Consider the following 26,510-nt stretch of genomic DNA (forward strand, 5'->3'; position numbering starts at 1 on the left):
GCTGTGGTTCAAGTAGACATTGATAAGCATGTCTATTATTCTTCTAAGTTCCTAAGTCTCCACAGTGTGTCTAAATCAATGGTCTTAAGACTTTTCCACTATAACTTCTAGGAATAAATACATTTTATAATTTCATCCCAACATTCATATATGTGTTAATTATTGAAGCAATGCTTCCCCTTATTACATATAATACACTCTAATATTTCCTTTATTATTTCTTTCTATCACAATTCCTTCCATTAAATAAAAGCATCCTGGTCTTGGCTCACTAAAAAAAAACCAAAAAACAAAAAACAACAACCGACCAAACAAACTTTCCATGTTAGAAGGATACTTTGTTTTTCCTACCTTGGAATCACCCTGCATATGCCAAGGGTCCATCTGTTCTTCAAACCATTCCTTTTCCCAAATAAATTGCATATATAAGGATTATAAAAATAATAAATAATCTCACATCAGCTACATCTGCTTTTCTCTGTCATTTTTCACTTTAAAGAGAAGCAAGTCTGAGAGAAATGTTTGAGATTTTGCAAAGATTTGAATATGACATTGCGAATTTTCCAATGGTTTTTCAATTTTCATAGCAATTGGCAGAATTATGTCTCAATAAAGTAAAAAAGGAGTATGTTAATTCACATCTTAGCAAAAATATATAAAGTATATATTTGGGGAGAACCTGTTAAACATAGGACTAGGCTAGTGATTAGTACATTTGCATTTTCGAAGGAATTCTTAGGAATTTTGAATGGTTTCTGTAGAGCCTAGGTTGGTTGTCCCTTTAATGTCGTCCCACACAAGGTACCAGTGTTTTCAGACTCAGTTGCATATGTCAGAGTTGAGCTTAAATGTAATGTCTGTTGTGCCAAGGAAGAGGAGAGACAATCTCTGCCGCCGCTAAAAGAAACTGCTGACATTGTTACATTTAAAATTTTATTTGTTTTCACAGAAATGAGCAACTTGTACAGCCATATTTGCCTTTTCTGGCTCATTGGCTTTTGATCACATCTCATGACTTTTTCAGTCCATGATATTTTGCTTACACTGAAGAAGCTGTAATCTTAAACATGCAAATGGAAGGAGGGTTGAGATCTCTTATAAACAGACTGTGTGATGGGGTCCATCTATTTTTAAATGACTGCTGTGGAACATGTAACACACACATGATGGGAAGGGTGACTGTAGGGTGAGAGCCTGAGTAGAGAATAGGTAATGTAGTAATTCAGTAATACTCTCTGACTTCAGAGATATGAGACATAATTCCTCAAGGCCTGTTTAAAGAATAGAGAAAAACCTTTTATATTTAACGTATCATGCACTGAGAACTGAACTTTAAGAGTTCTTGGCATTATGTTTTTCCTGTTGTTGTCTAACTCTGTGCGCCCTCAATTTCCCTTTATCCTTCTGAGAATCTTAATCTGATTTGTAGTGAAATTGACTAGAAGTATAGCCTTTGCAGTTCAGAGTTCAAATCCTGTTTTAGCCACAGACTAACTGTGGGACCTTGTGCGAGTGACCTGAGCTCTCTTGCCTTGATTCTCTTCCTTGTAAAATGGTAAAAACAATATTATCCACCACATGGACTCATTGAGATCGAAGTATGTGAAAAGCAGAAGAGATGTTGGTATAGGGTTAACACTAAATGTTAGCTGCTCAAGTCATTATTATGGTGATGGTGGTTTAGCAAATTGTGTAGCCCACAGTTTTTTTTTTTTTTTCATAGATAGTTTAAGTCAAAGTGGGCCAGTCCATTCTAACATGATTCTAAACTGGTTAAGTGCGAATTACTAAAATTACTAAAATACTCCCGAATTAAGGCTTTGACATCCCCAAAGCAAATCACAAAGTAAAGTGTCTAGTTATGTATTGGGTGGTACTGGTGGAAGCACCATTATTTTATTATTGGAAAGTGGAGTGAAAATCTGATATGGAGGGAAGAACGCTGGATTATGATGAGTTGGATCATGTGCCACTAAGAAAAGTGTGACCTTGGGCAAATTATATGTCCTCCCTGAATTTTGTCAGCCAAATGAGAGTGGGAGTGATGAGACCCACTCTGTGCATTTCCCAGGGTTTTATGGGATCCAGTTAGAAGAAGCATGGGCACAGGAAAGCACTCTGAAAAGATGAATGTGCTGTTCAGGCAGGAGGTGATGCAAGTTGAATGACAGAGCAGATTCCTGCCCATCAATCCTGTACTTCCGCTGGTTACTGTTCCAGCCTGGGATGCTGGAGGATGGCCCGATTGCAAATTCCAGGGCACGCACATGGCCTGTTGATTGCAGCGGTGCCTGCTGTGCAAAAGGAGCCGGGGTGCATTTGTATGTGTCAGTTCCAGGTAGGCAGATAGCTTTGCTTTCGAAATACAAAGGCTTTCCTGGGTGAAATGGGACAAATGGGTAGACCCCAAATACTCCAAAACAGCATCTGAGTGTTTGAAGCATTGTGCCCTTTGTTTTCTGAATGATACTCTAGTAATTTTGTGACAGTGTATTCCTTAGTCAGAGCTGCAGAGTTCAGCAGCCACCCCCTAGAGCCCTGGCAAAGGCAGTTTCTGAAAATGCCAGAAGAGAGAGGAGTTAATGTACAAGGTGGAAGAGCGAAAGCCCAGGGAGCCCAGATCCAAGCCAGGAGACTGTTTTCAACAACGTGAGTGAGAGTGTGCAAGACGCAGACAAACAAGGAGGACCAGAAATCGCGCCTATGCCACCAATCCAGACGCAGTAAAAAGAGGAGGTAGCCCTGTTGGGGTCCTAATCCATCACTCTTTGGAGGCTGCTCAGCCTGGCTCGGGCGGGGAATTCACGAGCCTGGCACCAGCCTCTCTGGGCCACCTCCCGGCCTTGGGCAGCAGAAGGGCCTCGGGCTGAACTGTGCTGCCTGGGCCCGCACTCCTCAACAGATGGCATTGTAAATCTGAAATATTCCACAGGAGAAAGACAAATGGGAATCCGCCGAGAAGTCTTGGAGCCTGGCATACGGAGTGGAATAAATAGAGGCCCAGCATCCTTACCAAGCCGTTCCTTCCTCCTGCTCTTAAATATCACACTTCTGAAGTCATCTCCCCCTGGAACTCCCAGCAGCTGAATAGGCTCATAAACACAGTGCTCTCTGGGAAGAGGGAAACCGAGAACTGAGCTGGTTGCCCCTATGAATACAGCCTACAGTTAGGTGTGGGGGTGTTTGCCTTGAGCTTTCAGATGATTTCACACTTACCCCACTCTAGCTGGTGATTCTGTGCTCTGACCCCCACCGCCTCGTCATTCAGATGTAAACAAGCCCTTATCTTCCCTTTCTGAAACATTTGTTGTCTGCAGGCCATACGTGAGGCACTGTCATGCATCCAGTCACTAGCCGTGTTTTCCTCCTTTATTTACCTCCTCTGTACCACAGGCTGTGCTAGAACTAAGGCTATGAAGATGAATATGATGGTGTCTTGCTCTCAAGAAGTTCAAAGCTGGGGTTATGGATAGCCACTAAACAGTCTTACAAGGTCAAATAAAATGGTTCAAGGGCTCTCCCTGCAGAGTGAGAGAGAAGCTCTCCATATACCACTGAGATTCGGAGGCCAGGATTATCCTTTCAGTGATTCGATGAGCCCATTTATGACAACTTTCAATGGGGATGTTTTAGAATCTCTGGTTTGAGACTGATAGACGTGGTTTTTAAAACACATATTTAAAATGTTTCTATTGTACACGTGCAGAAGATAAGTTCATCTCTTACCCCCCATGTGGCAGCTTGGCCTGCCTCCTAGAATGCCAGCAGAGTTCTTGCCTCTGGAACTTCATGCACACCATTCCAGCTTCGCTGAATGCTTTGCCCCTGCTTCTTGTCTGGGTGCCTCGTTGCAAGCTTTCAGCTATCAGAGTAAATAGCATCTCTCCAAAAAGGCAGTGTGGTGCAGTGGTTGAGTGTGGACTCTGGAGCTGGTCTGCTGGGGTCAAAATTTGAACCTGCTAATTGCCAGCTATCTGTCCTTGGGCAAACTCCTTAATCAGTTTGAGAATTCTCTGTTAATCAGTTTCCTTATCTTAAAAATGTAGGCTATTATGTGTCTACCTCATAGGATTGTTAAGAAGTTTAAATAAGAAAATATATGTACTCAGAGCAATACTCAATACGTATTAACTTGTATTATTCCCTAACATACATCAGTTGGTTCACTCATATTATTCTCTATTATCTTCTCTTTTAGTTTTCAACATAGGATTTACCACACTAGGTAATTATGCATGTATTTATTTACTTGTTAATTATCTGTCTTCCCCGGTAAAGGCTAAGCTTCCTAAGGGCAGATCTTTGGTTCTTTTATTTACCAAACTATCCTCAGCTCTGTATCTGGATACCTCAGTATTGTACCTGGATATAGTAAATGCTCAATAAATATTTGTTGAAGAAGTGAATTAATGGAGAAATCGAAGCTCCACCCAAATATTCTTGAGTAGAGGGTATATACGGAAGATACAATTAGAGAACATTGTAATGGGTATGAGTTTTAAAAAATGGGGGGTTGATCTCTGAAGTATGGGGCTTAGAAATCGTTGTGTCTTGGTTTCCTAATAATGGGAAGTTCTGTTTGCCACAGATTCCCCCAGTTTTTGACATGTTGAAATAGTCTTCCGGACATATTCCACTGGGGCAATTGTGAAACATAGCATATCACCAATGGGAAAAGGATGTCTATAGGAAGGTGGGAAGGTTGTATTAAATCTTCCTAATGAAAATCAATAGCCTAAAAATTAAATTAAGTTGATGCAACTAACTATTCAATCCAACTTGCTCATTAGCGAAATCACCCAATCTATTGCAGGGATCCCTGTTGCTAAGTTGCCTCAAGAAACAAATTGATTAATAGATTTTCTTTTTTTTAAAGGCCTTTCAAGTAAGCGGGTCAGGTAGCTATGATTTCACTATGGCCACTCTAGTCAGCAATAGCTGTGCAATTTGGTTCCAAACACCCAATTTATAGATTGGTCCAAGCCCCATGGAATCAAGTGTTTGGGGGACTTTGAAAGCCCCCAAGATAGTATTGTCATTAACTATCCTTAAGGCATTTGTGGTCAAGAAGGGAAACAGAAAGCATTGCTAAGAAGCAAACACTTGCCCATTTTCTTCAGTGAAATAAGAACTGGGGCCAACACACCATACTCCCCTTGTTTCCATATACTCTCAAAACCCCAATGTGTATTAAAATCATTTGTGAACATCAGTAGTTTTCTGACAAGAACTTCTTACATGGAGATGTTGGTTGGGAACCAGCAAAATATAGTCATATGCTGATCGGTGGTCTGGAAATAACCAAGGAGATGACAGTGAAACCCAAAGGCTGAAATTTGATATGGAAAAGTCTATTTTTGATAACTGAGACTTCTCTTTTTAAACTTAACTAAGTCTTGAACTGTCTACTTCATCTACTTAAAGTACCAGCATGACTTTACAGGTTTATAACATTAGGACAGTAAAACTAAAATATTGACCTATCTATCTAGTTTAGTGTTTGTGTGTGTGTGAGTGCATATGTGTGTGTGTACACTGCATACACATAGTTGTGGTACGTACTGTAGACCAATATAGTAAGTATATATAAGACCAAGGAGTAAGGATGGCCGAAAAAAAATCCCAAGACTCTACAACAGAGGATGCCCAGAGCTAGGTGCCTCCAGGATCCAGACGAACTTAATTTTATAAGATAAAACATTATCAAAAACCATTCCAGAAATTAGAGTTTTCCTCTGCATCTCCAGGTATAGTGGAAAGTCAATAAATGGCAAACTGAAATTTTAACCAAAGAAACTTGAAAAATGTACTGAGGTAGCTTTCTTTAAATAATGGATAGCATCAGGTGCCTTTTAAAGCTGGAATATCGGCCGGGCGCAGTGGCTCACTTCTGTAATCCCAGCATTTTGGGAGACTGAGGCGGGAGGATTGCTCGAGGCCAGGGGTTCAAGACCAGCCTAGGCAATATAGTGCAACCCTGTCTCTACGTAAAAAATTAGCTGGGCATGGTGGTGCGTGCTTGTAGTCCCAGCTACTCAGGAGGCTAAAACATGAGGATCACTTGAGGTCAAGGCTGCAGTGACCTATGATTGTGACACTGCATTCCAGCCTGGGTGACAATGTGACAGGATGAGACCCTGTCTCAAAAAAAAAAAAAAGTTGAAATAGATTTTATGAGGCTCAACTTTTTTTAACTTTAATAAACTTTAAAATATTTAATAGTTTCTGACAGAAAAGCTGTAAGAATATTCCAGAGGGTTCCCGTTTACACCATACTCAGTTTGCCGTATTGTGAACATCACTTTGGTACACTTGTCACAACTAATTAACTAATACTGATACAAAATCTCCTCATTTTGCAGATGAGAAAACTGAGTCCCAAGGGGTTAAGTGATTTGCTCAAGGCAATGGCAGAGGAGGAACCAGGACCCAATTTTCTCAACTGTGAGCCAAGGTCTCTTTTTAATAAACTGTGTTTCTCTATCTTGTGATTTCATATTCTTCTCTTTTGTTACAGATGAGCCTTTAGAAACAAACTTAGTTCAGAAATTCAAGGTGTGAAGCAGATAAAAGCAGAGCCACATTCTGGTTGAAGTACACCCTCTCCCCATCACACTCCCTCCCATGGGGCACCCGAGGCATCTTCCAGTGACTCTTAGGGATCAGAGGAAGGGAGTTTGGCAACCTCTCCGCAGTTTGATTGCAGAAGTTGTTATAAGTTTACCATCTGGCACCATCTGCCCGGTGAGGCTTGAGGTGGGGCTGTGACAGAATAAATCAAGAGGCAGCCCGAGAAGGGAGGCAGATCAGGTATACAGTTCAGTGGTGGGTTGTGCTATTTCATAAGAAGCATTTTCTTAACCCTTTGATATTAAATTGATTAAAGAAAGGAGTCCAATGAACATCTTTGAGTTCATACAACTCTCCTAGTTGCATCTTTAGCATTATGTGTTCCGAGGGTAAGGGGGAGATTGGTTGAAAGCAATTTTGAGTCCTCTGCAATGTGTCTACCTAGCTGACTGTGCCTTTCTCCTTCCTAAGACTACAAATGACTTCTTCACCTTTTTAGGTTTTTCCTTTTACCAGTGTGGACTAGAGGAAAAGTGATCGACAAAGAGGCAAGGAGAGAATGACAAACAGGAGGTATGACATAGGCCTGACGTGGGAGCTTGGAATCAGAAAATTTGGAGTTCAAGTGCCCAGCTTTGCCTTGTACTATGATAACTGTGTGATTGTGAGAGAATTATTCAACCTCTATGTGACTCAGTTTCCTCATCTGTAAAACAGAAGTGGTAATCATGGCAACTGCCTAATATGTTGCTTTAAGAATTAGGTGAGAGAATGCATCTAAACTGTTTTGCCCTGGGGCCTGGGACATTATCAGGACTTCATAAACATTGATGGTTATTACTTTCATTAGTACCATAACTGTCTGTATTATTACCAAGAAGGGAGTTAAAGCCCGAAAATGCATAAGTAATTGTTCATAGGGCAAACCTATCAATCTTCTGCTTTTAGTGCCTTCCCTAGAATGCTCACCTTTTCCAAAGTACTTGCTGTTTCCTTTGCATCTTTTTGATGATTTTAAAATTTAATAATAATGTAACAACATCTCTCATTCATATAGTGTGGTTAAGTTGCCAAAGAAGTTTAACTAATTTTATAAATTTTTTTCAAAAGAGAAACATTTGATGGCTGGGTGTGTTAGCTCACATTTGTAATCCCAGTGTTTTGGTAGGCCGAGGCAGGAAAATTGCTTGAAGTTAGGAGTTTGAGACCATCCTGGGCAATAGTAAGAACCCCGTCTCTACAAAAATAAATAAAAAAAAAATTAGCTGAGTGTGGTCTGTAGTCCCAGCTACTTGGGAGGCTGAAGTGGGAGGATCGCTTGTGCCCAAAAGTTTGAGGCTGCAGTGAGCCATGATTGTGTCACTGCACTACAGCCTGGGTAACAGAGTGAGACCCTGTCCTTAAAAAATAAAAAAGGAAATATTTGACTTTTAGCAATTTTTTTTTTTTTTTGAGATGGAGTCTCGCTCTATCGCCCGGGCTGCAGTGCAGTGGTGTGATCTCTGCTCACTGCAAGCTCCGCCTCCTGGGTTCACACCATTTTCCTGCCTCAGCCTCCCGAGTAGCTGGGACTACAGGTGCCCGCCACCACGCCTGGCTAATTTTTTGTTATTTTTAGTAGAGACGGGGTTTCACCATGTTAGCCAGGATAGTCTCAATCTCCTGACCTCATGATCCACCCGCCTCGGCCTCCCAAAGTGCTGGGATTATAGGCGTGAGCCACCGTGCCCGGCTGACTTTCAGCAATTTTTAAAATCAGTAATTTTTTCAGGAAGTATTTATGGAGTGCCTACTATATGTCGGCACTGTTGTAGGCCTTGGAACACAAAGCAAACAGCCATGCCCTGAGGCTTATCTACATCTAAGATAACATGATAGTAAATTATATTATATGTTGGAAGGTGGTTAAATGCTATGGAAAAAGTAGGGCAGGGTGAGGTGAGTTGGGAGCACAGAGGCTGGGTTTTGTTTAGTTCTGTTTTTATTTACCAAATGTGACCTCCTAAGAACTCCTGGAGCTCTATGGGGCAGGCTCAGTGTCTGGAGAAAGATTACTGGATGCTGAAATTGCTGGTCTTTCAACTTCTGCTTCCGGAGTCTCTGTTCTATTCTCGTCCAATTATGGGGGCCAGCTTTCCCTGCTCTAGCCTCCTGGCCAGCCTGGCTAGTCTACTCTCCCACACAGCCTCATTCCTGCCTGCTCAAGGGGTCTGCCACCAATCTCAGCAGATCCATTCTTTTTGACAGGTCACAACCAGGCCCACCTAATTACTCCCACCCATAACCCAGCCAGAGGCAGATGAAAAATAGCATTCTAGAGCATGGGTAATTCCCCTCCTCCCTGTGATTTTCTATGATTCTATGGGCAAATGAGGGGACTTCATCTGGGTGTTAAGTGGAGGCCCCTGGGTTTTCTAACCCCCTCTTCTAGGAATTCCAGCTTACATTCCCAGGTGAGCTGCCAGAACACTCAAGCCCAAGGTAGCATTATCATTCATCTCCCAACCAGGGCTTCTATTAATGTGTCACTGAAACAACCCATTTTCTTATACCAGTCCCCACCCCTTTGATATACTGGACATGTGTCAGAAAAATCAGAGGCCATCCATATCTTATCTTACATTAGGAAGAGTCATGTAGAAATGTCCCTTCATTACCAGGACAGTCATGTCAAAAAGAATCGACTTATTGTCAACGTTTCTAACCTAACAATGTTAATGGAGACTTTAGACATCCTTTCTCCTCATTTGTTTCTTAGATGCCTATCAAGGAGACAGTTGCAAGAGTTTCCAAGCTCTGGGGAGCCCTGTGTATGGGTATTAAATGACAGCACTCAAGGCTGCTTATTATAAAAGGATGCAGGGGTACATTGGAGGATTGAGATGGTGGGGAAAAGCGTGCTTTTGGCATGGTGCCAGGGTGGTGAGTGACTCCAAGCAAGACTTCAGGCTCCAAAGATAGCTATTGTTTCTCCCTCTTCTGCTCTCTCCTTCACAATTTCCTGGCACCGTGTAACAAATATATTTACCGAGTGAAGGCAGCTGTTAAGACAGTGCCCAGCAGTGTTTAAAATACCTTTCTCTCTCAATTCATACATGGAGTCACTCTTTTTTTTTTTTTTTTTTTTTTTTTTTTCACCCTCTGAGGCAGAGGAGGCTATAGGGGAAGACAGCATTGGCTGGAGAATTTTCTGGAGCTCTCAGAAACTACCTGGCACTGGGCAGGAGGATTTTCAGGTCAGGGCCGACCTTTGAGGAACCAGCTCCCTCCCAACATGCCGGTGGCCAGCCAGTGCTGATCAATAGTAACGAGATGACAGGTTGATATTAGTGAATAAAGCACCAAGCCATTTCCCCTGTAGAAGTTACACAAATGCCTTGTCCTAACAGCATGAAACTATTGGAATTTTTCTAGGAAATGCCCGTGGGCTCTTACAGTAAATCTCTTTTGAGTATGGATAATTCATTCTTCTTTCTTTTAAAGCACAATGAACGTGCTCCTTAGGTCTGTGGTTCTCATTAGCCCTACTCATAGGTGGTTGAACTCTGCCTAGTCAGCATGATTCAGAAAGACACAGCTATCCGTGGCGTGCAAAGTACTTTCATATCCTTCAGTGGGTATTTGGCATTGGGGGACTGCTCAGCACCCACATAATCCTTCAACCTGGGGGATGGAGGAAGGCAGTGCTTACCTCCCACTTTGGAAACTGACAGTGTCTCGATTTCCCTCTCCCCAACCCCTGGCAGCTGGAGAGTGGACTCATGATCTAGGCTCAGACAACTGGATGTTCCTCTCTGGGCCTTTGGGTTGTGAGCCAGGATGTAAATTTGGAGGGAATCAATTATTCCTGGTGGTGGCTGCAACTTTCTGTGGTGAGGGCCTTGGTATCTAGCAGTGACTACGTTCTCTGCAGGCGTTCCTTTTGCAAGTAGCTGTGAGGCCCTTGGATACTGTGTGTTTTCCAGCCTTTGGGTTGGTAGTTTGAGTAACCCGATAAACTTCTAAAAATATCTTCCTGCTTCAGTTATCCAGAGTTGGATTCTGACCACTAGAAATGCTTTATCTTATTGAAGTCCCATTCAGCACAGAGGGTGTAGGAGGCCAGATATCCGTTTCTAAAGGACAAAGCCGAGGCTCAGCAAGCCCAGTGACTGGCTCACATTTTTGCCAGGCAGAGACAGAATTGAGATTTGAAGTGAGTCTGTGGGATCCGTGGGGGTGGGCCCATGTCTTTTTTAATGTAATATGTCCAGGACCTGGCAAAAGATCTTGCAGGAAACAGACTCGTGAGAATAATTCGACTCCATATTCAGCCTGCAGGGTATATTATTATCTCTATTTGGTGGGTGAGAGACTATGTTCTACAGTATATCAGGGAATTTCTGATATGAAAATGATAGCTCCAGGCTGGACCCCAATTGTAACTGGGCCTATTTTTCTCTCCAAATCGATCCCATCATTCAGCATTCTTGAAGGAGAGCATAGCATGGAAGAGCATGGTAGGGAAATGAAATCTAAAAAGGAGGGAGAGGGGAATGACACTTATTTAGTTAATTTATTTAGTTTTCAGCTAACATGCATAGAATGGTTACTCCATGCTAGTAATAAGCTAGGCACCTGACATCTATTTTATTTCATCTTAACAATGGTTAATGATACGACACAGGTGCTATTATTGCCCTGAATTTACAGATGAGGAACCTGAGACTTAGGAAGGCTAAGTTCCTTGCCCCAGATCCACAGCCAATAAGCCACAGCACCTAGTATACCTGACGTCATGGCCCAAGCCCCTGCCAATATATTATGCCAATGGGGCTTGTTGACATTTGAGTCTGGGGTTTGTTGATGATGGTTGACTGCTTTTGAGCACGTTTCACTACAAAAAAGGGTATGGAATTGCTTATGTATTTCCAAGATCATGGTCTTAAAAGAGATATACCTTCCTCCAATATTTTTATTTTTGTGTGCAGAAAAGTTGAAATTTGGAAGACTTGGCAAAGAGAGTGTTAATGTGCTAACATCAAATGAATTCCATGGATTTTCTATTCATTAAGGCCCATTTCCCTGCACATAACTCACCTCAGCTTGGTTATACTACTCCAGGGTATGCTAGTAAAAGGAGGAAAAACAGGGAAGCCAGCCAGAAAGAGGTGTTTTTGGCTGCAAAAATCAACTTACACCTACCAACAAAGTAAAACAGAAAGACTTTGCCAAACAGTAAATATCAAGTTCATTGCCTAAGCCCCAGAAGAACACATATGAAGCAATTTATGATACCTTTTGGAGTCTGTGGTCACCTGATAGTGCTTGGCTGTGAATTTTAGGAATTACAATTCAGCAACTGGAAGGTGAATCAAAGTAGAAATTCTGGTCATTTTATAGCTTGGCTAAACCATCGGAGGATGGCAAGATATGAGTCTCCTTTGCCCTAGATAACAAAATGTGCATTTATTTATTCATGCTCTGATTAATTTACTAAGCACCTACTATGTGCCAGGCAATCTTAGCACTACAGATAAATCAATCACCTATATTTGAAATATCCCTCTCTTGCAGAACTTACATTCTAGCCAGGAAAAATGGATAGAAATAAGAAAATGAATACATGAATGATCTCAGAGAAGGGTAAGTGACTTAAAGAAAATAAATCAGGTGCTGTGATGGATGGAGGGTGACAGGTGAGGAGGGAGTAATTGAGGTTGGATGGTCTGGTAGGTCTTCCTCTGGCTCAATGTTAAGAAAAATCCAGACATTCAGAGGTCTGGAGCAGAACATTCTGGACAGGAGGGTCACCAAGTGCAAGGGACCCCAGGGAAAGGGAACCTGGTGTGTTGGAGAACCAGAAAGAACTGTGGGTCAGAACACAAGGAGAAGAGGGAGCGAGAGGGGTTGAGGTCAGAGGTTGGCACAACCAAATCCTGCAGGGCCTCAAGTCATCATCTGTTCCTCATCCTAAGAACACTGTGAGGCACTTGAAGGTATTCAAGTGGAGCATTGATGTGTCTGATTTAGAATCACTGAAGGCTTCCTGGGAAGTCTAAGCAGAGGATGGTTTGGAGATGCCTAGGAATAACAGCAGGGAGAAGGGATAGAACATAGTAGCCAGACCACAGTGGGGTCAGTGTTGCTGGACAGCAGCGTGCAACCAAAAGGTTATATCCAGAATGTTTTTTTTAACTCTGCCTGCACATTTGAATCACTTTAGAAACTTTTTAGAAATATAGCTGTCTGAGGTTTACCCTTGGATATTTTGACTCAGTAGGTCTGGGAAAGCTATCTGTCTTTTAGGAAACAAAACAAGAGATTCTGAAGCACAGCCAGTATTGAGAACCACTGATTTAAAGTGTTTTCACATTCACAATTTCTTTTGATTGTCCTGTAATCTGTGAAGTAACTGTTGTTGTCATGCCCATTTTATTGATAAGGACACTGAGGCTCAGAGTAAGTGACTTATTTAGGGTCACATAATTAGTGAGCAGAAGCCAGAATTCATTTTCTATGTGCAAACCTAATGCTCTTTCTCTGACCCTACCACATATCCCTGAACGTAGCCAGCGATCAGGTTACTGTCAATGTCTTTAAAAAAATTCAAAATACAGATGGGTGTTTACCATCAGGAAGCAGAAAGCAAAATAGAAATTTGGAAACAAAGTGGAGCCCATGGCTGAAGGGTGGAATGTGGAGGCACCCCTGCATGTTATCATTTACAAAGACGGATCCGATGGCAGGGAATCTGGAAGAGTGGCGAAAACTGTCATGTCTGAGGGGATGTGTTGGGAACAGTTGGGAGAGGTTGTGGAGATGATTAGGTGTGAGGAGAGGAAGATGCTTCCATGAATGAATATTCTAGTGGACACCTGTTGGGTTTTAGTTGCTTAGCAACCATTCCAAAACAAATGGGCAGGGAAGAAGAGGAGCAGACAGGTGGAGATTTCTTCTTCACTGGCTCCTCTACCAATGATTTGGAGTTGCTTGGACTCTGTTCATTTTAAGCCTGGTTTTGCAGCCTTCCCTTTGATCCTAGGATGCCTCCACATCTTCTAACAAATTCCCTTTTTGCTGTAGGTGTCCAGAATGAGTTTCCTTTGCTTTAAAAAAAAAAATTACTCCTGTTGCTATTCAATATGGTGACCATTTAAAGAAGAAAGACTGGCTGTGCAATTCTCTAAGTTGGCAAGCAGGCAAAATTTACCTCCCATCTGGCCTTCTCCCACCACCCAACCTCTCTGCACCTCTCTCTGTGAAGACAATCACTGACTTCTTCCCCTAGATGCATGCCCTCCCTTTATTTACTATGATTGTCAACAAAGAGAGACACTGGATATTTGAGAAAGGACATTCTTCCAATCGATTCTTTATTTAGCAGCCAGAGAGATCTTTCTAAAATGAAATCTAATCATGGTGTTTCCCTGCTTAAAGCCCCCCCAATTCCTTCTTATTATTTCTAGGATAATGATGACCCATTAAAGTGGTCTGCAAGGCCCTAGGATATGTGACACTTAACAGGACTCAACCTCATCTTGCCCTACCTTTGATATCTATGCTCCAGCCACACACATAGTATTGCAGTTTTATAAAAAACTATGCTCCAGCTGTTTCAGGACCTTTGCACATTCTTTTTCCTTCACTCAAGAAGCTTTCCTTTCCCATTTAGCCTAGTTAACCCTTTAGATTTCAGAACTGCATCATTTTCTCAGGTCAGCCTTGTCTGACCATCCTGATTAGATTAAGTCCCAGCTCTTCCCCACTAGTCAATGCACATTATGAAAGTAAGCCCCTGTCTGTTTTGTTCATCATTATATTCCGAATCCACTGCATAATGTTGGGTACATAATGATAAAAATATGACAACAGTAGCAATCATTATACCACATACTAAGTGCCTTCCATAATTTAACTCCTCTAGTCTTCCCAACAATGTTATGAGGTAGGTTCCACCATTATTTCCATTTAAATATGGGGAAGCTGATACAGAGAAGTTATGTGACTCGATAAAGGTTACACAGGTAATAAGCATTGGAGCTAGGATGAAAACCTAGGCAATTTGTTTCCAAAATTAGCACTTTAAACTCTAATGCTTTCCTTCTCTGTACATAGTAGGTGCTCAATAAGAATTTGTTGAATGAAGAAATGAGTGAGGATAAGAATGAATAAACACATGGCTTCAGAAATCTGGAATGGAATTTCCGGAGGCCAAAATTCAGGTCCCTACTCTGTGACTGACACCTCCATGTAATTTCATATCTGAAGACCTTTACTCCCCCTGTGTGAAGGAGGGGAACTGAGACAGACAAGCATTAGGCACCAACAGTCTGTGACTCGAAGCTGGCTTGACTTAAAAGGCCACATCTGGATTCAGCTCTTGGGTTTTGAAACCTTAAAACAAAAAAATGGCTGGATGGAGAGCTTATTCTTTAGATCACAAGAGAATTCAAGGCCCCTGGGAGATGAAACAATAAAAGGAAAGACCATATGAATGGAACTTACATTGTGCTTACAGACCAAGCAAAGAGGAAGTCATCTGTCCCTCTCTGCCTATCATTTTTGGTATTGCATGAGGTGGGCTTTAGGGGATAATTATCGACAATCACTTCTTTCTTGAGATATATTCATGATTAGCAGTTGTGAATGCCTGCTGGAGAAACCAGAGTTAATTTTTTTCCTTTTCCTAATGTAGTTATACAAAAGTCCCATTGCATTAATACTTTTGAAATTGTGCTGTAACTGAAGCCACAGAAAACTGCTCACCAGGGATCCTAAGCCTTGCAAACAAGTCTCTCTAAGCCTGCATGAAAAATGCAGACATGCCCCTCTGTTGCTAGTTAAGCTTGCTAGGACTTTAATGCATGCCTCCTACAGCATTTTAGACCCAGGCCCCAGGCCCAGGCTCCCACTCCTACCTCCAAGGCTGCCACCAGGGTCTTATGTGCCTCCTAAACACTTGGCTGCTGCACTTGGGACATTTTATTGAGGCAGCTTTACTGGAAGGATCCAATTACAGGGTATGGCAAGTTAGATTCAGTGCCCCTCTTAACAATGCTACAGAGAACACTGAGGTTCCTTTAGCCATTCCTGGTCCGAAAGAAATGAATAGAGGTAATGACAAACAGTCCCTGAGATGGCTGCTGCTTCTGGACACGAACACTCCATTGGGTTTTAAAAAATCTTTATGTGTGGATTCATGTATAAAAAGCAATACATCATAGTTGCAAAGAAAAAAAGTCAAACAATAGGAAGTAGGGTAAAAAGCAGGACTCTCCCCTCCTACCCTTATAACTTCCCCTGAGGTGGGCACTGTTTTCAGTTTGTTATATATCCTTCAGGATCTTTATTACATTTACAAACAAAATCATATTATAGTTAAAAAGTTTTCTGTCCATGTTTTTCTGCAACTTAATTTTTTTTCTTTACAATAAATCATGGATGTTTTCAACAACTCATACAAAGTTACTTTATTCTTTTTAACTGATGCATCACAGTGCCTAGTGTGTCTATAGCACTATTCTCTTAACCACTTCTACTGTTGATACATATTGAGATGTTTCCAAAATTTTGTCTATTACAAATAATGCTGCAGTGAATATCTTTGTAGTTTCTTTGAACACACTGTGCACACATGAAAGAATTTCTATAGGGTAAATTCTGGAGAGTTATTCAGAGTGTTAAATAAAAATATTAGTTCTAGAACATTCAAGCGCAGCTTTCCCCAGAGCTCAGACAAACCTTCTGAGGGGCTTGTTTTTTAAAATAATATAATTTAGAAAATAAATAATGCTACAATCACATGACATAGATTCACATATTCTCTCTTTCATAACTCTCCCTCCTCCAGTCAGTTCAACAGTCAGCCCCACAGGTAACCACTGTTATTAGTTCCATAGGTTTTCTTCCAATGCTTTTTAAGGACAAACAAGCGAATATGAATGTACATTTATTTTCCCCATGCTTATGTAAAAAGCAACACATTTTTACACTGTTCTACCCTTGCTGTTTTCTCTTATCCATGTATCAGATAGATCTTTCCATATAAATATATAGATTCCTCATTATTTAAAAAAAATTAATAGACAATTTTTAGGGAAGTTTTTTGGTTTATGGAAAATTTGAGTATAAATATGTATTGCAATGGACAAATCAGTATTGATACATTATCAGTAGTAGAAGTCATAATTTACATTAGGGATCACTGGTGTGCTGTACACTTTTATGAGTTTAGACAAATGGATAATGTCATGTATCCATTCTTGTGCAGTACCAAACAGAATAGTTTCATTACCCTAAGAATCTCCTGTGTGTTCCACCTATTCGTCCCTTCCTCCCTCACTCCAAATCTCTGACAACTACTGAACTTTTTACTGTCTCTTTGGTTTTGCCTTTTCCAAAATATCATCTAGTTGGAATCATACAATAGATAGCCTTTTCACACTGGCATCTTTCAATTAATAACATGTATATAAGGCTGCTTCATGACTTTTTGTGGCTTAGTATTTTTTTTTTTGGTATTACTGAGTAATATTCCATTGTATGGATATACCAATTTCTATTTACCTATTGAAGGATATCTTAGTTGCTTCTAAGTTTTGGCAATTATGAATAAAGCTACTATAAACATCCATTTGCAGGTTTTTATGTGGACATATGCTTTTCACTCATTTCCATAAATACTAACTAGTGTAATTGTTAGATCATATAAGACTAAGTTTTGCTTTGGAAGAAATTGCCAAATTGTCTTCCAAAATGACTGTACCAATTTTCATTCCTGCCAGCGATGACTGTGAGTTCCTGTTGTTCCACATCTTTGTCAGCATTTTGTGTGGTCTGTCTTTGGGAGGTTAGCCATTCTAATAGGTGTGTAGTGGTATCTCATTGTTGTAATTTGCAGTTCCCTGATGACATATGATGTGGAGTATGTTTTCACATACTTATTTGCCTCTGTATAGATCCTTTGGTGAGACATTTATTCAGATCTTTGGCTCACTAAATTTGTTTGTTTGTTATTTTATATTGTTGAGTTTTAAGTGCAGTGGTGCGATCTCGGCTCGCTGCAACCTCCGCCTCCCAGGTTCAAGCGATTCCCCTGCCTTGGCCTTCTGAGTAGCTGGGATTGCAGGCGCCTGCCATCATGCCTGGCTAATTTTTGTATTTTTAGTAGAGATGGGATTTCACCATGTTGGCCAGGCTGGTCTTGAACTCCTGACCTCAGGTGATCCTCCTGCCTCAGCCTCCCAAAGTGCTGGGATTACAGGTATGAGCCACTGTGCCTGGCAAGAGTTCTTTGTATATTTTGGATATAACTCCTTTATCAGATATGTTTTGCAAATATTTTCTCTCAGTGTATGACTTACCTTTTCCTTTTTAAGTGTCTTTTGAAGAAGTTTTAAATTTTAATAAAATCCAACATCCTTTTTTTTTTTTCTTTCATGGATTTTGCTTTTGTGTTCTATCTGAAAACTCAAGGCCAAACCTAAGGTCACTTAGATTTTCTCCTATGTTATCTTCTAGGAGTTTTATAGTTTTTAATTTTACATTTAGGTCTATGATCCATTTGGAGTTAATTTTATAAAGTGTAAGGTCTGTGTGTAGATTTATTTATTTTTGTATGTACATGCCCAGTTGTTTTCACCATTTGTTGAAAAGAATATATTTTTTTTGTCATTTAATTTCCTTGGCTCCTTCTTCAAAGATCAGTTGGCTATATTTGTGTGGTTCTGTTTCTGGGCTCTCTGTTGATCTATAGGTCTATTCTTTCATCAATACCACATTATTTTGATTATTGTCATTTTATAGTATATCTTAAATTTGTGAAGTGTCAGCCCTCCCAAACTTGTTCTTCTTCAGTGTTATGTTGGCTATTCTGAGTCTTTTGTATTTCCTGTATAAACTTTAGAATCACTTTCTTGGCATCTACAAGATAACTTGCTAGGATTCTATTGAGATTGTGTTGAATCTCTAGATCAACTTGAGAAGAACTGACAATTTAAAAATACTGGGTCTTCCTACACACAAATATAGACTATCTCTCCATTTATTTAGACTTTCTTTGATTTTCTTCATCAGAGTTTTAAAGTTTTCTTTATATAGACCTTGCACATATTTTTATTATATTTATACGTAACTTTCACTTTTGGGGAAGTGTTAATGTAAATAGTGTTGTGTATTTTATTTTAAATCCCAATTGTTCATTGCTGCTATATAGAAAAGTGATTAACTTTGAGTATTAACCTTGCATCCTGCAACCTTTCTATGATCACTTATTAGTTCCAGGATGTTTTCTGCTGATTTCTTCTTAAATTTTCTACATAAACAATCATGTCATGTGTGAAAACAAGACAGTTGTATTTCTTCCTTCCTAATCTGTATATCTCTTACTTTTCTTGTCTTATTGCATTAGCTAAGACTTCTAGTGGGATATTGAATAGAAGTGGTGTTATGGTCTGAATGTGTATGTCTCTCAAAAACTCATGTGTTGAAACTGAGTTCCCAGAGCAATAGTATCAAGAGGTGGAGACTTTGGGAGGTAATGCGGTCATGAGGGCTCTGCTCTCATAATTGGGATTAATGCCTTTAAAAAAGAGGTACAAGGAAGCTTGCTTCCCCTTCTACCAGGTAAGGACCCAGCGTTTACCCCTTAAGCAATGAAATTTCTGTAGTTTGTAATTTATCCAGTCTAAGGTCAATTGTTAGAGCAGCCCTGATGGACTAGGACAAATGATGAGAGGGGATAGCCTTGCTTTGTTCCCATTCTTAGGGAGAAAGTATCTAGAAAGTTATAATATGTATGATGACAGCTATAGAGTTTTTATAGATACTCTTTATTTAGTTGGAGTAATTTGCCTCTTTTCTTAGCTTGCTGAGAGTTTTTATTATGAACGTGTGCTGGGTTTTGACAAATGCTTTTTCAGAATTCATTTATATAGTCATATGACTTCTTTACTCTATTGAGTAAAGGGTATGGATTAAACTAATTTCTTTCTAATGCCAAGCCAGCTATGCATACCTAGAAGAATTCCCTTTTGTTCATAGTGAATAATTATTTCATACATTATTGGATTCAATTTGCTAATATTTTGTTGAGAATTTTTGTATCTATGTTCATAACATCAGTTTGTAATCTCCATTCTTGTAATGTCTTTATTTTGGTATTAGCCTAGTTCTGGCTTCATAAAACAAGTTAGGAAGTGTTACATCTGCTTCTACTTTCTGAAGGAGATTGTAAATAATTGGTATCACTTCTGCCATAAATATTTGGTGGAATTCACCGGGAAAACATCTGGGCTTTGTGTTCTGTTTTGGAAGGTTATTAATTATTGATTCAATTTCTCATAGATAAGTCTGTTCACATTGTCTATTTCTTTTGGGGTGCGTTGGAAGTTTAATAGATGGTGTCTTTCAAGAAATTGGTCCATCTCATCTAAGTTATTTAAGGCATATAGTTATTAATAATATTCCTTTATTATCCTTTTAATGTCCACGGAAACAATACCAATGGTCTTTCTTTCATTTCTGATATTAGTAATTTGTGTTTTCTCTCTTGTTTTCTTGGTTTGCCAGACCAGAGGTTTATAACTGTCACTGACCTTTTCAAAGAACCAGGTTTTGATTTTTTTTTAGATTTTGTAGTTCTTCTGTTTGCAATTACATTGATTTATGCTCTAAATAGTATTTTTTTCTTCTGCTTACTCTATATTTCATTTGATCTTTTTTTCTAGTGTCTAAGGTAGAAATTTAGATTATTGATTTTAGATCTCTCTTCTTTTCTAATATATGGAATTGCTGTAATTTGCCTCTAGGCATTGCTTTCATTGCATCCCACATTTTTTTCCTTCCAACTTTTATTTAAGGTTAAGGGGATGCATGTGCATATTTGCAACATAGGTAAATTGTGTGTTACGGGGGTTGGTGTACAAATTATTTTGTCACTCAGGTAGTGAGAATAAATGCAGTTTTTCAATTCTCACCTTCCTCCCATACTCCCCCTTCAAGTAGGCTCTGGTGTCTATCCTTCTTTGTGTCCATGTATACTCAGCGTTTAGCTGCCACTTATAAGGGAGAACATGCAGTATTTGGTTTTCTGTTCCTGCATTAATTTCTTAGGATAATGGCCTCCAGCTGCATCCATATTGCTGCAAAGGACGTAATTTCATTCTTTTTTATGACTGCATAGTATTCCATGATGTATATGTATCATGTTTTCTTTATCCAGTCCACCATTGATGGGCATCTAGGTTGAGTACATGTCTTTGCTGTTGTGAATAGTACTACAGTAAACATAAGTGTACATTGCTGGTTTGAATGGTACTGCAGTAAACATAAGCGTACATTGCTGGGTTGAATGGTAGTTCTGTTTTAAGTTCTTTGAGAAATCTCTAACCTGCTTTCCACGGTGGCTGAACTAATTTACATTCCCACTAACAGTGTGTAAGCTTTCTCTTTCCTCTGCAACCTCACCATGTTAGTTTTTGACTTTTTAATAATAGCCATTCTGACTGGTGTGAGATGGTATCTCATTGTGGTTTAGATTTGGATTTCTCTAATGATTGGTGATGTTGAACATTTTTTCATATACTTGTTGGTCACATGTATGTCTTCTTTTCAGAAGTGTCTGTTCATGTCCTTTGCCTACTTTTTAGTGGGGTTGTTTTCCACTTGTTGACTTGTGTAAGTTCCACATAGATTTTGAATATTAGATCTTTGTTGGATACATGCTTTGCAAATATTTTCTCTCATTGTGTAGATTGTCTGTTTACTCTGCTGATAGTTTCTTTTGCTGTGCAAAAGGTCTTTAATTAGGTCCCACTTGTCAATTTTTGTTTTTGTTGTGATTGCTTTTTGGAGTCTTCATTATGAAATCTATGTCTAGGATGGTATTTCTTATGTTTTCTTCTAGGTTTCTTATAGTTTTAGGTTTTACACTTAAGTCTTTCATCTATCTTGAGTTGATTTTTGTATATGGTGAAAGAAGAGGGTCTAGTTTCAATCTTCTGCATATGGCTAGCCACTTGTCCCAGCACCCTTTATTGAATAGGAAATCCTTTCCCTATTGCTTGTTATGGTTGACTTTGTCAAAGGTCAGATTGTTATAGGTGTTCGTTTTTATTTCTGGGTTCTCTAACCTGTTCCATTGGTCTATGTGTCTGTTTTTGTCCTAGTGCTGTACTGTTTTGGTTACTGTAGTCTTGTAGTATAGTTTGAAGTCAGGGAATGTGACTCTGGCTTTGTTCTTTTTTGCTTAGAATTGCTTTGGCTATTCAGGCTCTTTTTTGGTTCCATATAAATTTTAGAATAGTTTTTTCTAATTCTTTGGAAAATGTTGTTTGTAGTTTGACAGGAATCCACTGAATCTGTAAATTGCTTTGGGTAGTATGTTCATTTTAACAATATGATTCTATCTATGAGCATGAAATGTTTTTTCATGTGTGTTGTCTCTGATTTCTTACAGCAGTGTTTTATAATTCTCATTAAAGAGAACTTTCACTTCCCTGGCTAGCTGTATTACTAGGTATTTTGGTTTTTTGTGTGGCTATGGTGAATGTAATTGCATTCTTGATTTGGTTCTCAGTCTGGATGTTATTGGTATATAGAAATGCCACTAATTTTTGTTCATTAATTTTGTATCCTGAAACTTTGCTGAAGTTGTTTATCAGATCTAGGAACCTTTGGGCAGACTATGGGGTTTTCTAGCTATAGAATCATATCATCTACAAAGAGAGACAGTTAAACATCCTCTTTCCCTATTTGGATGCCTTTTATTTCTTTCTCTTGCCTGGTTACTCTGGCTAGGGATTTCAGGACTATATTGAATAGGAGTGGTTTGAGTGGGCATCATTTTCTTGTTCTGGTTCTCAAGAAGAACGTGTCCAGCTTTTGCTCATTCAGTATGATGTTGGCTGTAGGTTTGTCACAGATGGCTCTTATTATTTTGAGGTATCTTTCTTTGGTTGGCTTAACTTATTGAGTTTTTATTATGAAGGGATGTTGAATTTTGTTAAAAGCTTTTTGTGCATCTATTGAGATGATCATATGTTTTTTGATTTTAGTGTTTATGTGTTTACATGATAAATCACATTGATTTGCATATGTTGTTTATGTTGCATACATTGAATCAACCTTGCATTCCAGGAATAAATCCTACCTGATCATGGTGTATAAGTTTTTTGATGTGTAGCTGGATTCAGTTTGCTAGCATTTTGTTGAGGATTTTTGCATCTATGTTCATCATGGATATTGGTGTGAAGTTTTTTCTTTTTGTTGTGTTTCTGTCAGGTTTCGGTATCAGAATGATGCTGGCCTTATCATAGAATGAGGTAGGGAGGAGGTACTCCTTTTTAATTGTTTGGAATAGTTTCAGTAGAAATGATACCAATTCTTTATACATTTGATAGAATTCAGCTGTGAATCTGTCTGGTCTAGGGCTTTTTCTGGTTGGTAAGTTTTTTATTACTATTTTGGAACCTGTTATTGGTCTGTTCAGGGTTTCAGTTTCTTCCTGGTTCAATCTTGAAAGGTTGTATATTTCCAGAAATTAACTTATCCATTTTTTTCTAGGTTTTCAAGTTTGTGTGGGTAGTACACATAATAGTCTCTGAGGGTTTTTTTGTTTGTTTGTTTGTTTGTTTGTTTTTGCATTTCTGTGGGATTGGTCATAATTTCACCTTTGCCATTTTCGATTGTGTTTATTTGAATCTTCTTTCTTTTTTTTTTCTTTGTTAGTCTAGCCAGCAGTCTATCAATCTTATTTATTCTTTCAAAGAACCACATTTTTATTTTATTGATCTTTTGTATGGTTTTTTATACTCCACGTTGTTCAGTTCATCTCTGACTTTGGTTATTTCTTTTCTTCTGCTAGCTTTGGGGTTGGTTTGCTCTTGGTCTTCTGGTTCCTGTAGGTGTGATGTTAGGGTGTTAATTCAAAACCTTTCTAACTTTTTGACGTGGGTGTTCAGTGGTATAAAGTTTCCTCTTACCACTGCTTTATCTGTGTCCCACAGATTCTGGAAGTTCTATCTTTGTTTTCATTAATTTCAAAGAATTTTTTTATTTCTGGCTTAATTTCATCATTTGCTCAAAAGTCATTCAGGAGTCAGTTATTTAATTTCCATGTAACTGTATGGTTGTGAGAAATTTTCTTGGTATTGATTTCTGTTTTTATTATGTTGTGATCCAAGAGTGTGGTTGGTATGATTTAAGTTTTCTTGAATTTGTTGAGAATTGTTTATGGCAAGTATGTGGCTGATTTTAGAGTATGTGCCATGGGGAGATAAGAATGTATATTCTGTTGTTGGGTGGAGTGTTCTATAGATGTCTGTTAGGTCTATTTGGTCAAGTGTTGAGTTTAGGTCCCAAATTCTAGTTTTCTGCCTAGATGATCTGTCTAATAGTGTCAGTGAAGTGTTGAAACCTCCCACTATTATTGTGTGGTTATTTAAGTCTCTTCTTAGTTCTCTAAGAACCTGTTTTATGAATCTGGGTGTCCAGTACTGAGTGCATATATATGTAGGATAGTTAAGTCTTCTTGTTGAATTGAACTTTTTATCATGTAATTCCCTTCTTTGTTCTTTTTGATAGTTGTTGGCTTAAAGTCTGTTTTTTTTCCCTGAAATAAGAGTAGCAACCCCTGCTCTTCTTTGTTTTCCATTTATTTGATAAATCTTTCTTCATCCCTTTACTTTGAGCTCATGGGTATCATTGCATGTGAGATGGGCCTCTTGAAGACAGCATACAATTGGGTCTTGCTTCTTTATCCGACTTACCTTCTAAGTGGGGTGATTAGCCCAAGTATGTTCAAGGTTAATATTGATATGTGCAGATTTGATTTTGCCATTGTATTATTAGCTGGTTGTTATGTAGACCTGATTGTGTAGTTGCTTTATAGTGTCCATGGTCTTTGTACTTAAGTTTGTTTTTGTGGTGGCCAGTAACAATCTTTCATTTCCATGTTGAGCACTCCCTTAAGGACCTCTTGTAAGGCAGGTTTCATGGTAATTAATTCCATTTAGCAATTGCTTGTCTGAAAATGATTTTATTTCCCCTTTGCTTATGAAGCTTAGTGTGGCTGGATATAAAATTCTTCGTTGGAATTTCTTTTCTTTAAGGGATGCTGAATATAGGCCCCCAATCTCTTCTGACTTTTAGGTTTCTACTGAAAGGTCCACTGTTAGCCTGACGGGGTTCTCTTCGTGGGTATTTTTTCTTTCATGTTGACTTTGGAGAATCTGATGACTATGTGTCTGGGGGATGGTTATCTTGTGTAGTATCTTGCAGGGGTTCTCTGAATTTCCTGAATTTGAATGTTGACCTCTCTTAGTGAGGTTTGGGAAATTTTTGTGGACAATATTCTCAAATTTGCTTGCCCCCCCTCTCTCTTTTAGAGACACCAATGAATCATAGATTTGCTCTCTTTACATAATTCCGTACTTCTTGGAGGTTTTGTTCATTTTTTAAAATTCTTTTTTCTTTATTTTTGTCTGAATGAATTGATTTGAAAGACCTATCTCAGAGTCTTTGAGTTCTGAAATTCTTTCCTCAGCTTGGTCTAGTCTGCTGTTAATACTTCTGATTGTATTATGAAATTCTTGCAGTTCATTTTTCAGCTCTATCATACCCCTTTGGTCCTTTTCTTAAGATGAATATTTCATCTTTCAGCTCTTGAATTATTTTACTGGATTTCTTATATTCTTTCAATTGGGTTTCAACATTATCCTGGATCTCAGTGATCTTTATTGACATCCAGATTCTGAATTCTATTTCTGTCATTTTACAGTCTGATTAAAAACCATTACTTGGGAGCTGGTGTAATCATTTGGAGGTAAGAAGACACTCTGACTTTTAGAGTTGCCAAAGTTCCTGCACTGGTTCTTTCTCATCTATGTGGGCTGATGTTCCTTTAATCTTTGAAATTGCTATTCTTTGGGTAGTGCTTTTTGCCTTTATGCTCTTTGATGTTCTGGAGGATTTGTCTGTAGTATAAGTTGGGTTTAGATGACTGGCTTTGTTTCTGGATGGTTTTAGAGGGCCAAATCTCAGCTCAGTACTCCTGAGCTGTGTGTTGTAACCCTAAAGGGCTTGGATCATGCCCATGGGTTTGTTTGGCTGCTCGAGGGTAAGTACCTGCTGCACTGAAGGGGCCAAGGTGTTCCCAGTCTGGTGGCAACAGCACTTCAATGTGGGGGGCTGGGGTGGGGGGGCTTGTGCTGCCAGGGAAAGCACTTCATTAGGATGATGGCAGCAGGGTCCATGCTTGTGTGTGTGCACCTGTGATGTTGGTGTGGTAGGATCTGTGTGCATATGCACTAGTGGAGGTGAGGTGATGACAATGAGGTCTGCAAACATGCACATGCTGGCAAAAGCAATGTGGAGAGACTACACACGAATGCGCATTGTGGGGGACCCATCTGCAAAAACTCTCTGATGGTTAAGTGGACTATGCCAGTGAAAGAGCTATGGTGGTTGCCACTAGGAAGTGCCCTGGTTGGGCATCTGAGGCTGCAAGTGGGTGCAGCCAGGCAGGAACCCTGGGGGTGGTGGTGGGGGTTGTTTGCTCAGATCATATTGGTCCCATCCCATGGCAAGATATCCCTGTCCTGTCCACTTCTGACAGTCAACAAAGGCCAAAGCCACCTACAGGAGTGTGGCAAGCCTTGGGGGATGAGCATTCCTTGCTGGGTTCCACTCTGCCATTCCCATGTCATACCCTCTGGGCTCCTTCAAGGTTGGAGTCCTGATCCTGCCAACTCTCTAAGCAACACTTCCTGCCAGCTCAAATGTCCATGGGGATCATGAGGTCTCCTGCAGTTAGGATTCTGGAGGTTTGTGGTGAAAGTGGGCCACTCATGCCTGTTTAACTCATCCTTTCCCCAGGAGCTGCACAGGGCCAGGAATGAGTCCTGGTGCTTGGCAATCTTATGCAGGGTTCCCAGCTTCCTCCTCCTTCAGCCCAGAGT

At 39.6% G+C, this 26,510-nt stretch overlaps 1 long non-coding RNA gene across 1 annotated transcript in view, besides 2 other annotated features; it reads right to left on the reverse strand.

The window, feature by feature from the left end:
• Positions 1,948 to 2,734: an enhancer, noted in NCBI's record as "OCT4-NANOG-H3K27ac-H3K4me1 hESC enhancer chr5:157739958-157740744 (GRCh37/hg19 assembly coordinates)". NCBI's record gives its function as "activates a minimal SCP1, AML or CMV promoter by ChIP-STARR-seq in naive H9 embryonic stem cells {active_cell/tissue: H9 hESC(naive)}" and the evidence as "EXISTENCE:reporter gene assay evidence [ECO:0000049][PMID:30033119]".
• Positions 2,735 to 3,519: an enhancer, noted in NCBI's record as "NANOG-H3K27ac-H3K4me1 hESC enhancer chr5:157740745-157741529 (GRCh37/hg19 assembly coordinates)". NCBI's record gives its function as "activates a minimal SCP1, AML or CMV promoter by ChIP-STARR-seq in primed H9 embryonic stem cells {active_cell/tissue: H9 hESC(primed)}" and the evidence as "EXISTENCE:reporter gene assay evidence [ECO:0000049][PMID:30033119]".
• The window catches only part of LINC02227 (long intergenic non-protein coding RNA 2227), an 89,091-nt gene continuing 72,261 nt past the window's right edge, over positions 9,681 to 26,510 (reverse strand). The window contains exons 6-7 of the long non-coding RNA NR_109888.1: positions 15,058 to 15,202; positions 9,681 to 12,633 (exon numbers count right to left, since the gene is read on the reverse strand). This is a non-coding gene — a long non-coding RNA (long intergenic non-protein coding RNA 2227). The remainder of the gene's footprint in view (positions 12,634 to 15,057; positions 15,203 to 26,510) is intronic.

Source organism: Homo sapiens, chromosome 5, assembly GCF_000001405.40.
Source record: "Homo sapiens chromosome 5, GRCh38.p14 Primary Assembly".
NCBI classification, from domain to species: domain Eukaryota; kingdom Metazoa; phylum Chordata; class Mammalia; order Primates; family Hominidae; genus Homo; species Homo sapiens.